Here is a 14,521-nt window from a genome sequence, read left to right as displayed (position 1 = left end):
ATAGTCAACACACACAACCACTGTTAGAGCGTGGGTAAACCCCAGAGTGATTTTATAGCATGCAGGCATTTCACATCCAGCAGATAGGCATTGGGCTTTGCACCATGCATTTCATCTTGTTTCCTCCTTTCTTATGGGGAGAGATGAAGGAAATCCTTTGCAAGAAGCATATTCTCATGGGGGTGTCATCGCCGCTGAAAACAGCGGACAGAGGTTAGCAAGACTGCTCCTATTGTTACAATAAGGACCCTGAGGCTTGGAGGACTGCTGACTTATTTGCTCAGGATTGCGCGGTTTGGTTACTTTGCCTTCTTGTTTTTGTTTTGTTTTTTATGGGACTCTGCAAACGTGTAAACTGACTGATTCCAACCTGCTGTTCTTTCTTCTGCACCACTCTGTGCCCATGTGGTTCTGGGGATGAAGCATGCACCTAGGTGGCTACCCTTGGAGAGTCCTTTCTGGTCTCAGAGCTGACATAAGAATGAATCAGCCTTACAAGTGTGAGTCCCCGGTGCCAGGGCCTTGAAAGAATTGCACAACTTTTTGGCAGCCCCAGGAAGCCCTGAAATAAAGCTGGGGACCCAAGTGTACTCTGTGGGCATCCTGGTAGCAACAGCATTCACCACATAAAACAATGAAGCCACAAAGAGGAAGCCACCCAGAGAAGCAGCTTTGGCTGGACAATGTTTCCAAGCAAGAGAGAGAAAACAGTTAGAAAAGAAAGTGGCTTTTCATGATGAGCAAAGCTTCTTCCAGGCAAACTAGGTCTCAAAAGTATCCTTTCCTCCGCACGAAGTGCTGTGGGCCTGTGAGCGCTCTCCCACTACAACAGAGTGGAGCTGTGGGTCTTGGAGGAGGTTGGGAACAGAGGGTTTTGGACACAGACTAGATACAGGCTCAAGTCTCAGCTCTGCCGTTTCCTAACTCTGTGACAGGAGTGTCCAATGTTTTGGCTTCCCTGGGCCACTTTGGAAGAAGAAGAATTGTTTAGGGCCACACATAAAATATACTAATGATAGCTGATGAGCTAAAAAAAAATCGCAAAAAAAAATCTCATAATGTCTTAAAGTTTATGAATTTGTGTTGGGCTGCATTCAAAGCCGTCCTGGGCCACTGGTTAGACAAGCTTGCTCTGAGGCAGGCTAGGTTATCTTTCAGCCTCTGTTTCATCAGCTATAAAATGGGAACAGTTGGATCTATGTCACAGGACTGTTGTAATAGTTAAATGAGACCATGTTTGTATGGCGCATAAGAGGCGTGCAAAGTGCTTGATACATAGTAAGCTCTTAATAGATAGCAGCTGCTTTTTAGAGTTCACAGTGCTCCCAGTCAGATTCTTCCTTCTGCTAAGCACTGGACCCGCGGCTCCCTCTGAGATGCTCTGCCCTAGGCAACCCCGAGGCTTGCACCCTCTAAAGTCAGGACTCTCTGCTCAAAGGTTGGCTCTCCGGAGACTGCCCCTGACCACCTGACCCAGAGCAGCTCCCATCCTTCTACCCCACTCTGCGTGTTTCTTGGCATCTTTCACTATGGGAAGCTGTGCTGTAGATTACTGTGTTTATTTGTTTATTGTCTATCTCCTTCGCCTAGAAGAGCAGTCCATTCTTTTTGGCACCAGTGACTGGTTTTGTGGCAGACAATTTTTCCATGGACCCAGTGGGGGTGGGGAGGGATGTTTGGGGATGATTCAAGCAAATTACACTTATTGTGCACTTTAGTTCTATTATTATTACATTGTAATATATAGTGAAATAATTATACAACTCACCATAATGTAGAATCAGTGGGAGCCCTGAGTTTTTTTTCCTGCAACTAGATGGTTCCTTCTGGGGGTGTTGGGAGACAGTGACAGATCATCAGGCATTAGATTCTCATAAGGAGTACACAACCTAGATCACTTGCAAGCACAGTTCACAATAGGATTTGCGCTCCTATGAGAATCTAATGCCATAGCTGATCTGACAGGAGGTGGAGCTCAGGTGGTACCACGAGCAATGAGGAACAGCTGTAAATACTGATGAAGTTTGCTCACTCACCCACCACTCACTCCTGCTATGCCGCCTGGTTCCTAACAGGCCATGGGCCAGCAGTGGTCCGTGACCCGGGGGTCAGGGATCTCTGCCCTAGAACATTAGCCCCATAATGATAGCAACTGTGTTGTGTTCACTACTGAATCCTTGGTGACTAACACAAGTGCCTGGCCTAGGGAAGGTACCAAGTAAATAGTTATTGAACACATGTGAATACATGGTCTTCCTCCTGTATAGATTGTGAGTCCTTACAATGGCACAGCGTAAAACTGTTCATCAGTTACAGAAACTCGTGCAGATCTGGGAAAGCCTTGGGCTTCAGAGCCACCAGCATAGTGACCAAGATGGCCTGGTCACTTGATGCTGAGCTGTGCTCCATAAGCCCTACAGCCCTGAAGGGCAAAGCAATCACTGCATCGGGCTGGAGAGGGTCTGAAATGGCTCAGCAGTTTTCTTTGTTAGGAAAGTTACAGCCTGAAGTGACTACACACAGGCGCTCCCCACCCTGTGTGCTTCCCAGACTTTGCCTCTTCACCCTCCCTCCAGGATTCCTTATTAGGTAATGCCACTTTCTCAAGGACAAAAAGTAGGTCTTAAAACTAACCTGTGACAGCGGATAGTTTACAGCTTTTAAACTTGGAAATTATTATTATTGTTATTATTATTATTATTTGAGATGGAGTCTTACTCTGTCTTCCAGGCTAGATGCAGTGGCGCAATCTTGGCTCACTGCAACCTCTGCCTCCTGGGTTCAGGAGATTCTCCTGCCTCAGCCTCCCAAGTAGCTGGGACTACAGGCACCCACTACCACACCCAGCTAATTTGTTTTTTTTTTTTTTTATTTTTAGTACATATGGGGTTTCACCGTGTTGACCAGGCTGGTCTTAAATTCCTGACCTCAAGTGATCCACCCGCCTTGGCCTCCCAAAGTGCTGGGATTACAGTTGCGAGCCACCGCACCTGGCTTTGGAACTTATTTTTTAATGTCACCACATAGCTTATTTCATGATTTTCTATAAGAAAAAGCAAAAGTGAGATTTGTTCCTGACCCTACCTGGCTGCCATCATGGAGCTGCACCAGCCTGTGCTCACATGTCACAGCCCCATGGACGGCACCTGGTAGATGGAGACAAGGCAGCTCCACAGACAAACAGCTGCCTCTTTACTGCTGCTGCCTGGTGAAGGCCAGAGTAACTGAGGGCCAGTGAGTGCTAAACACCCCGGCACTGCCCTGCCAAAGCTCCTGGTCTCACACACTCCATTAAGATCAAGATCAAGGGTGAAGAAAATATAGAGTTTGATTTGAGCTGCACCATAAGCACCCGAGAGCCACCAGTGGAGATGGAATTACAGGCCCTTCTGAAGGGCATGGAGTTTCTCCAAAATGGAAGACTTGGCTATTGCAAGTACTTTCAGAGGTTGCAGTAGGCACATGTGTGGCTTCCCAAAGCCCTCACAGATCAGAGAAATTGAGCAAGAGATAAAAATACATAAAATAAAATAAAAAATAGCAGAAAGGAAAGAAAACATGTTCTATGACCTGTAGCATGGCCCAGCAATTGCCGTAATTCAAGTTAGAATTTTGTTTCTCTGTATCTACCATGAGCAGTGAAATCAGCAATGCAAGTTGAGCTGCCTTTGGTCCTCGGCTGTCAATTAGTATCTATGCTGTAGGAATCCTGGGCAGCAATGCCATCTCATTTCCATGTTAATATATGTGATATATAAAAGGTAACTCTGGCAGTAACTCTGCGGAAAAGTCTTATGAAAGGATGCAATTATTAAGAGCTATAAAACCTGAATCATGGATTTGGGCACAGAGAGAACCACAATTGTCATGATGACGTGGCGGGGTAGGCCTGTGAATGTGCAGTAAAAGCGTTTTCCCTTAGCCATCCCACGTAAAATCACATCCCACATAAAATCACATGTCTCTGGTCTCACTAGACAAACCTAGCAAGACTTCCTGGGCAATATTCAGGTCTCTAGCTGTGGATGGAAGGTTTCTTCTTTTTCTTTTATTCTCCTTTTTTTCTCCACAACTTGGAATGTTTCCTAGATAAACATAGCTCTTATTGAAGCAAACCTCTATTTGGGGTTTCCTGGGCAGGGTTGTGCCCCAGAAGGAGTGGCCTCTGTCCAGGCAGTTATACCCTCCCATGCACAAATATAGCTCCCATTGTGGACAAGTAAGATACTGACAATCTCTTGTCCTACCCATCTCCTTGGAGCTTGGATGACTTGACCCACCCCCCAGATGCTGGTCCAACCAGATGGGCAGGCAGACAACACAATGCCTGGCATGCAGATCCAAGAGTACACATAAGAGCTGCGTGTACTTTACCCCCCAAAACAACTCCAGATGTTAGGTGTTGGGAGGATTCGCTGGCCCCTCACCCTGAGTTCAACTCACTGCCCATCTAGGAAATGACTTATTCTTACTCTGTGCTCCCATGGAGCCTAATACTTAAGTCTACCATAGCACCTGCATCATTTTGTACTTTTCTTTTCATATCTGAAGGCCCCATGAGGATCCACAGGAGACGCTGAGCCTGGCACTGGGCCAGGAATATAGTAGATGCTGAATAAATGCTTGTTGAATGAATGAACATTCATATATTTGTCTGAGGACCTTCCTCCTGAGGGTGGCAAGGAGTTACACACAGGAAACGGCCTGTGCATTGTCAATAAAATGCAGAGAACTGCGTGATGGATCCGAACATGAAATATGGCCAGATGGGTAAAGAAGCTTGACATGACAGCTTGGGTCAGGAATCCTTACAAAACTTACCTTATCCAATCCCAAAGGCCAGGATGCCTTGAGTAGTTGGGATTCAGCTTAGTCTAAACAATGGAATGTGCTCTCTTCTCTTGCAGGGTCCTTCGTGGAGTTCTTGGAGACAGGAACTTAGTCCCTGGTCTCAGCTGGTTTATAGCAAATTCCCATTTGACAGTGATTTAAGGCCCCTCAGGACCCAAATCATGTTCAGTTTCTAACCTCTTGGCAATAATCATGGTGTGGGAATACACACAGCTCATGTGCTGCAGACATCCGGCCTCTTGGGGTTTCCTTACTAGAGGAATGTGTGGTGATGGCCGCAAAGAAGGGAGCAACCTCCCAGAAGAAAGCCCAGGCACCTTGGAGTGTGAGTAACTACTGGGCTTTTTTTTTTTATTATTATCAGACATCTTGGTGCATCAGAACCAGGACCTGTAAAGGGTGATACTTCGTTAGCTCAAAGAGCCAGGTGGGAGCAGGGTGGACCCTGTGTGTGAACCAAGCATTTCTCCCGCTGAGAGGTGGCGCTATGGAGAGGATGGAAAGGGCTTGCCCTGAGGCACTGACTGGAAGGTGAACCGTGCTCCTCCGCTGCTCTGGGAATTGGCTTTGGTCATTCCTCACTCCTGAGTTGCCTGCCAGCCAAGGGAGGTGCATGTGTTGGGGGAGAAATCCCATCATCATCAACAGCCAGGCCCAGGCCTTTCCTGTGGAGGGTGTATAGCCTGCAGAGCTTAAGGAATTCCTCCCTAGCAGCAAGTCAACCACACCCCCTTTACCTGGGATTTTGGCAGCGTGGATGCTTTTTAAAAGGGCAGATTTTATTTCATTGCAAACAAAAGAGGCATTCAGGCTCCAGGGCACTCTCCTCCCTGGCAGCATCCTCCCAGGCCTGGTGAGAGCGCTCCCTGCAGACCCTCAGGGCAGGCCACACTGCCTCTCAGATGAAGGAGAGGAAGATGGATGGACCGCCACGGGCAAGCCTTCTCTGTGGGAACATAAAGCCCAGCATCTGCTTGGGGCAGAAGCCCCGGGGTGCCCCATGAGAAAGCCGTCAGGGCCCTTGGTGTGCAGTCAGGCAAGCTGATGGGCTGGGCAGCCGCTGCCAGTTAGGGAACACAGAATGCTCCTTCACAGTACAGCGAGTCCATCTGGGCAGGAGCCCTCCACAGCCGGCCTCTCTGGGAATGTGTCTTTGCCATTTGGAAGGCCAAGAGCCATCATCGTTCATTCAGACGCCTCCTGTGAGGCCAAGGAGGCTGGTCCATTGTTCCTGCCTCCCCATTCCCTCTGTCCTCCCACCCACAGCCTGGGGTGCACCTCTCCTCCTCACAGCTGCTGCCTGTGAGTTGTGCAAGGCAGACCTCTTAGAAGTCTCGCTTGGAACTGCCTAGAAGGAGATAGGCATGTTTTAATGGGAATGTAGGCATTTGGTGTGTTTACTGATGTTTCCTGGACAATCTCTTGTCAAAGGTTGAGCCTTTCTGTGTCTCAGAAAGGGAAAAACACATGTGTGGGTTTACACATTGCTGAGAGAGCAGGCAGAAAGCTGCTGCCAGACCATCAGTTTCATCCTCATCATCGGAAAGTATCTTCTAAGCACCTGATTGCCCATCACACCAAATAAAGAGGAAGTCTTGTGTGGGAGGCCACTGAATTGGAAGGGAGGAGGTGTGGATTCCTATCCCTGCTCTGCTTCTAAGCAGCTCTGTGCCTTTTCACTCGGCATGGCTTCCCTTGCTCCAATTCCACAGTGCTATCCCAGATACAGCCCTTCCCCTCTGCATTCCCCAGCCCCTGCCCACAGCAGACATGGCTAATCAATCATGTTCCCATGGCGCCTTACAGCATGGCCTCAGAGACATTAACACAGAGCTCCCGACAGCCACTGCTCACTGATTTGAAGGGCCCTCAAGATTAAACCTGTTTGCTATCACTTCCCTAAAGGAATTTATCACCTGGGAATGAAATTCTATACCAAAAACAGTCCAGGTCACTGGAAAACAAAAGGTTACAAATCAAGAAAGCAATAAGCCCACCTGAACAATCTGGACTGACCAGGTAAGTCATACTTTGGCAAAGACAGATATCCTCGCTTAATCATTTTACTGGGACAGATCCAAGGTTAGAGAAAGTGAAACATACCCTAAATCAGAAATGCCCTTTCTTTCACATATGGAGTTCTGGGAGGGAAGGTACCTTACTCCTGCCCTCTTCGCTTCCTAGATGGGGAGAGGGAGGCCTCAGTGGTTGTGACTTCCCAGGCCCCTCAGTTTGGTGGTGACCTTGTCAAACAAGAGTCCAGGATTTTTGGTCCCCAGCCCAGTGCTCCTTCTACCCACTGACACCCATTGTCTTGCTAGGCAAGGAAAAAACTCCACACTGCTATTTAAAGCACAGGCAATTAATGGTTTTCAATAGTGTTTGTGATGAAAATTAATGAACTATGAGCCAAAGGCCCCTCATTGAGATCATAAAAACAAATGACTAAACCCTGCGTGATTGGACAAGGGAGTCAGAGTTCCTTCATGTTATTGTAACTCCACCACTCCCTTTGGTTATGTGGGGAGTCACCGAACCTGTTTTCAAACCTTGGTTTTCTTGCCCGTACAATGGGCACCAACAGTGCTGCCTGTACTTGCCTCGCCAGGACATAGAAGCCAAAAGCAAACGACATGGAACTTCCAGATCCAGATTAACAGCAGTCACCATGAGCGGAGTGACATGATGTCTGCTATTAGGTAGTCAGCTGCAATTCTGGAATCACCGGCAACATTTGACAAATCCCAGGATATGTTGGGTAAGTGCTCCACAGCTCAGATGATTCCAACTCTAAGGGTCATGCAGGCTTCAGAAGTAGTTTTTATTTAGATAGGAGTGTCAGGGGAGGAACCTAGAAAGACCTTCCGTCGGATGAAGGATTTCTCCAAATCAGCAGTACACCTAAGGGGTCCCCTGCCTCTTTTTGCTTCAGGTATCTGGAGGAGGGTTCTGACAGCAGGGCTGAGGCCCAGGATGACAGTGCTGCATGCCTGCCTAATGACTGTTAACCAGGGAGCAGCTGAAAGCGTTAAGGATCAGTGTGTAACAGATCAGCATACAGAGAGAGTACCCCAAACACATCTCTTCTGGGTGGTATTTATCAGGGCACCTTGCTGGGTGTTCTTGACATCAGGAACCTGGCTTTGTAACCACATGCCCACCGCACTAAGGCCTTTGCCATAAGGAGTGGCAGTGTGTTCACACAGCATATCTTTCTAGGACATGTATTAAACATGTGTTCCTCCCAGGTCTGGCAGTTTGCCACAGTCCTGCAAAGGGCTGAAATGGCTTTGTTCTCTTGTTCCAGTTGAGGCGGGACCTGAACGCAGAAGGGAGAAAAAGGCCTCTGAGTCCACCACTAGGTGGCGCAAGAGCTCTACCGGTGAGACTGACTGGTCCAAGGACCTCTCAGGGAAATTCTGCAAAGGAATTTGAAGCTTCCAAAAATTTCAAAGCAGAATAGGGCCTTAGAGGTCATCTAATCCAACCGTATCATTTTAAGCCAGGAAAGTAGAGCTCAGAGAGATGAAAGATCTTGCCTGGCATAAACAACTGGTTAAGTGCAAAACTCTAGTACTCCAGCCAGGACTAGAAACCAGTCTCCTCCTCCCAGTCAATCTCATTCCATCCAGCCACCAGGTTTTCCCCTCTTTAGGCATATTTGTCTTGGATTCTTAACTGCATTTGATGCAGGAGTTGGGTTTGGTGTTGAGAGTTAAACACAGAAAGGGAGTGAAGTTGCCAGGACTACTTCCCAGCAGTGTGGACAGGGCCTCTTAGATGATACACGGGCGTGGGCCACAAGGTGGCCTCTTAGATGATATGGGGCCTCTTAGATGATACAGGGTGTGTGGCCCTGCCCATCTGGGCTTAGTCTCTGGGGATGCTGTTGTCCTGCCCTGAGATTTACTTGGTCAGATCATGAGGGTCAAAAATGTTTGGGGATCCAGCCAGGAAATCTTGATTCCAGCTCCACTCTGCCCACCACTGGCCAAATGCAAGTTGCTCATGTCCCTAGGCCTTGGTTCCTTGGTTTACTAAAGCAACAGGCAAAGAGAGAGTGAACCCCACCATCAAGTTTCCAGCCAAAGGCCATGGGGATCCAGAAAGTGAACCTGCAGTTATTTTTGTTCTATTTCATATTTCTATATTCATTATTATTTTATATATGTTCTACCATGTTCCATAAAGGAATTAAGTACAACTGAACTCTACAGAAATTTCATAGATACCAAGAAATGTCTGAGGATAATGATGATTCTTTCAACAAAATCTATCTAAAAATATTTATCGGATGCCAAGTTTGTTTTTATAGACAAGTCTACTTTATCGGACACTCCATCAACCAGAAATCACATTTATCTGGCACATCTGCACGTTTTCTGCCAAGTAGTAATTCATATTTATAATAAATGAGGCATTTACGCTAGTGGAGAGGTTAAGAGTACAGAATCTGCCCTGGTTTGAGCTTTTTGTCTGCCAGTTCTGAGCTGTGTAATGTTGGGCAATCGGGTACCCTCACTAATCTCCACACTTTTCATCCTCAAACTGAAATTTATTTTGATTCCAAATTACCTTATAATGATAAATAATGCCACATAGAACCTAGGTCTTATTTTCTAATATATTCTTCAACAGAAGAAACCAGGGCTTTTTTGGATAAGGACTGAGACAGGAAATATCCAAGACGAGCCTGGAGACTGTGGTGGTACCAGAAAGTAAGGAAGTACCCCAAAAAGGTTGATGGCATCTTGGACAAGCATGGGAACTTACCTGAAAGAGTGGCCAGAATGGGAACAATTTATGCAGCAAAATAAATAACCATAGCATTGGATTATAATTTATAGAGTAAAATTAATATCTATGAATCAATAATTGTATAAATAAACAATATAATAAAATAGAGAAAAGACAAATCTTCCTTTCTGAAGAATTACAACTAAAAAGGAATGCAAATCGTATAAAATCACCTTTAGAGTACCATAAGCAAGATCCACAGATGGATGCTAATATTAGTGGGCAGAAGTTTGAAGGGAAATAGAATATTTGAATAGCCTCAAAGTATCTCTCCTAAGACACTTACTAATTATAAAGGGAAAAAGTAATGACTTAACAGTGGGAAAACCAGCAGGCAGCACCTTAACCCACTGCTCAGGGTCAACATCACCATAATAAGACATATTGCCCTCATGTACGCCTGCCACGATGAGCTGAGTGCATCACTTTCATGGCATTCCTGCCAAAAATGCATGATCTCAATCTAATCATGAGAAAACATCAGACAAACCCAATGTAAGAGACATTCTACAAAAATACCTAGCAATACTCTTCAAGAAAAGTGTCAATGTCATGAAAGACTAGGAAAGACTGAGGATGTCACAGATTGGAGAAGACAGGAGATATCACAGGAAAATGCAGTGTGGGATCCTGGATTAGACCTTGGGGGAGAAAAAGACATTAGTTTTCCTGGAAGAGGGGATAGCAAGAGAAAAAGACATTAGTTTTCCTGGAAGAGGGGATAGCAAGAGAAAAAGACCATGGAGTCCGCCAAGATGTGGACCCTTCAGCCTCTGGCAGGAGGGAGCCCAGATCAGCCAGCCTCCGCTACCCCCAGGCTGCATGAAGATTATCACTTTTAACATATGCCACAATGGGAAAGAAGTTGAACAGCACCAAGGTTGAGAACCAGACGACAGAAAACTATCCACTCCCCCTCCTGCTTCCATCTTGCAGATTGGCAAAGGGCCAAGAGTAGCCTCTGAAATTAGTGACTCCAACCAGGCTAGAGCTGGTGAGTTCTGGGCATAGCTCACATCTTGTGGGCTCCAATTTTTCAGAGATGGCTGAAATACAGGATAATAGGGAAAACTCTAGAATAAAACATATCAAGGCTTAAATTTCACTGTCAGCTGTGATCTTGGACAACTTACTTAATCTCTCTGATCTTTGGTTTCCTCACCTATAAAATGGGGATTAACCTCATAGAGATGTTGGTTGGAAGGATTAAACAAGGCACAATAAAGGCTCAATTAACAGGTTGTTTGCCTCTTTCTGCATTAGCATCTTTGATGGTGTTGGCAGATTAACAGCAGGCGACCCTGGAGGCATTAGACTTCTGTTTAAGTTAAGACTACAGCCTCATTGGGTGGAGTTGCTCAGTCTGTCTGGTTGAAGAGCATCACTAGCCACAAATGGCCAATCCATACAGAGAATAAATAATAAACATTAAAAACAAAACACTGATTTAAGGAAGAACTCAAACCCAAACAGATCTAAAGTCACAACTTAGATGGGTCTTGGTGGTGAAACAGGGCAAGCAGAGTAAAGCTGGGGTGAGGCACGTGCCTGTTGTTTCGATGGAATATTTATTCTCCCAGGCTTCCTTAATAATGAGCTACAGTTATGCATGGTGACACCACAACCAGCTTCCCTTGCATGTAGTTCCCATAGACTAAATTTGGGCCAATGAAATATAAATGGATGTTGCTGAGTGGGACTTCCAGGAAGACTCTTGAAAGAGGGAAAAATAGTTGAAATATGATCTTTTTCTCTTCTTTCCCCTCCCTCTGTTTTTTTGCTCCCTATCTGTAAAGCAGGTTTAATGACTGGAGTTATTGTAGCCATATTTGAGACTGAGGCTGGTTTGAGGATGGAAATCATATGCCAAAAGAGCGAGATCGAAGCACTTGAGTTCCTGATGACACTGTGGAACTGCCAAATCTATGCAATCTACCTCCACACTATATACTTATTGCACATTTTTTTTCAGTCTGTTATTAGCAGCCAATAGAGATTCCTAACTGATACAGGAGTATGGAAAGATATGACAGAGTGAATTTTGATGACTGATGCTGATCATCCCAGTGTAAATCTCTTTATCTTGAACTGTAAAATTTCTATGCATAAGGAAGAAAGAAACCTTGGAGGTAAGAATGGACTGAAAACATACACACATACACATACACACATACACACACACACAAATACACACATACACACACCCACACACACACACAAATACACACACACATACATATACACACATACACATATACACACACTCACACACACATACATGCATACACACACATACACAGACACATACACACACACACACACACACACACCCCATGGCTCATTTGCAAAGATGAGGGATATCAGGCTATACAGGAAAAAAACAAGTGCTATTGCCTGAGCTAATTGATCAGTAGCTTCAAAGCATGTTATAAGTATTTGCATTGATCCTCAACCCTTGATTCAACATCTATCCCCAAATTTAGCATTTGCAAATGAGAGAATAACTATAGTCACTTGGAAATTGGATTATCTCATCTAGCAGAAACCTCAACAGAAGTTGGTTATTGGGAACAATTTTTTTGTGTGTGGCCCTGATAGTATAATGAAAACATTATCACTTTTTCTTTGCAGTAAGCACTTTTCTTAAAACTCCTCTGTGCAAGTCATCTGCTTCCTCTTGGAAAAAGAAAGTCGCATTATATAAAAGCCTTACAGCATATTTAGACATTTCATCAAAGTAATAGACAACTGGCTCATGCTGGGCTGGGAGAACACTGGATTATATTCTCTGCCCAGATAGGAATCTCCCTTGGTAGACTATAAAACATCATTGGTTAGGGTTTCAAGGTCAGAAGTGCCAGATTCCCATAGAAGTCTGACTTTGCATTTCATCGTGTGTGTGTTATATAGAACAAGAGAACAAGAGGGTACCAGGCGTGACACTAGGTAAGAAGGGATTCTGCAGCTGGCTCTGGAGTTAGTTCACTTGTCCGTCTGTCCCACCCATTCATCCATTCACCAAATCACCCACCAAGAACACCAATGGAGGGCACTCTGTGAGCGAGGCACAGAGTTCATTGATTCGTAAGACTCAGTGTCTGGCCTTGAGAAATTCCTGTTCTGGAAACCCAAACAAGGATATAACTATTCAACAAGTGCAGTTGAACCTGTGAGACTTCAACTCATTTTTCAGCACAAGCATAAATTGGTGAGCTAGTGAGGTTGAAAAGTGGGAAGTTAACCAGCAAATAATACTATAATCCCAGCAATTTGGGAGGCTGAGACAGGAGAATCACTTGAGCCCAGGAGTTCAAGACCAGCCTGAGCAACATAGTGAGACTCCACCTCTACAAAAAAATACAACAATTAGCTGGGTGTGGTTATGCATGCCTGTGGTCCCAGCTACTCAGGAGACTGAGGTGCGAGGATCACTTGAGCCCAAGAGTTCAAGGCTGTAGTAAGCCATGATCTTACCACTGTATTCCAGCCTGGGTGACAGAGCAAAAACCCTGTCTCTAAAAAATAAAATAGGCCAGGCGCAGTGGCTCACGCCTGTAATCCCAACACTTTGGTAGGTCGAGGTGGGTGGATCACAAGGTCAGGAGTTCAAGACCAGCCTGGCCAAGATGCTGAAACTCCGTCTCTACTAAAAATACAAAAAATTTAGCTGGGAGTGGTGGCGGGCGCCTGTAATCCCAGCTACTAGGGAGGCTGAGGCACAGAATTGCTTGAACCTGGGAGGGGGAGGTTACAGTGAGCAGAGATGGCACCACTGCACTCCAGCCTGGGCAACAGAGTGAGACTGTGTTTAAAAAAAAAAAAAGATAAAATAAAATAGGCAATTATGAGCCTGGGAGGTCAAGGCTTCAGTGAACTATGATTGTGCCACTGCACTCCAACTTGGGTGACAGAATGAGACCTGTCTCAAAAGAAAAAAAGCAAATAACAGTATATCTTAATTTTCCCCAGGTATTAATAATGAGAATTATAGGTTATCATTTATTGGAATAATAGCTTTGTGCCAGGCACTTGATATGCATGATCTGAGTTCCTGTTTCTTCTGAGATCGGAATTTATATTGGTTAGAATGCATTAAGACTCAAGAATCTGAACACTCAGCCGACAGTGGCCTAAATCGTAGAGTCATTTAATCTTCTCCCCTAACAAAGAGGTGAGCAGTTCCAGGGTAATTTAGCAACCAGGACATGAGTTGGGCATCTCTACACTCTCTTGGCTTTGTCTTCATGGTGACATGGTTATGGAAGCCCCAAATATCACATTCTCTCTTGACACCCTCCAAAGCGGGGGAGAGAAAAGTAAGAGAAAGAGGAATCTCCTCCTATGCCTATGATTATGGAGGAAACGATTTCCCCAGGGTCCCCAGCAGATGTCCACTTTCAGCCCCTTGGTTAGAACTAAGTGGCATGGCTGCCCCTAGCTGCAAGGGAGAAGACACACCAAAGAGTGTGTGTCTGCTGCATTCAAGGCAAGGAAGAGGCTTTGGGCACAGCTGTTGGGTAGGCAACCACTTGCCTTCTGCTGCATTTATATTGTTATCTCCCTTTTACAGACAAGGAGGCTGAGACATGGAGAGGTTCTATTTCTGTTTCCCCAAGTCACATACTTGGAAATGGCAGAATTAGGATTAACCTTCAGGAAAGTCTGACTTGAGCCCAGATTCAATCACCACCAGATACTTTTCTCATCCGCTGTACAAGGCTACATGGAGCTTAACAGCTTGCCCATTAATTGTACTTCCCTGCTCTTTCCATTAACCTTAGATTGAGGTCCCAATGTTGTAAATTCTTTCTGTAAGGCAAAGAGGCACGTGCCGTGTCTCTACAACATAGTGAGGTAACTGAAGTGACCATTG

The 14,521-nt window shown here is 45.4% G+C and overlaps 1 annotated feature.

Annotated features, from left to right (window-relative positions):
* Nucleotides 5,384-5,883: an enhancer, noted in NCBI's record as "H3K4me1 hESC enhancer chr1:85240543-85241042 (GRCh37/hg19 assembly coordinates)". NCBI's record gives its function as "activates a minimal SCP1, AML or CMV promoter by ChIP-STARR-seq in primed H9 embryonic stem cells {active_cell/tissue: H9 hESC(primed)}" and the evidence as "EXISTENCE:reporter gene assay evidence [ECO:0000049][PMID:30033119]".

The sequence above is a fragment of the Homo sapiens genome, chromosome 1 (assembly GCF_000001405.40).
Source record: "Homo sapiens chromosome 1, GRCh38.p14 Primary Assembly".
Lineage (NCBI taxonomy): Eukaryota > Metazoa > Chordata > Mammalia > Primates > Hominidae > Homo > Homo sapiens.
This window is presented reverse-complemented; position numbering and strand designations above follow the sequence as displayed.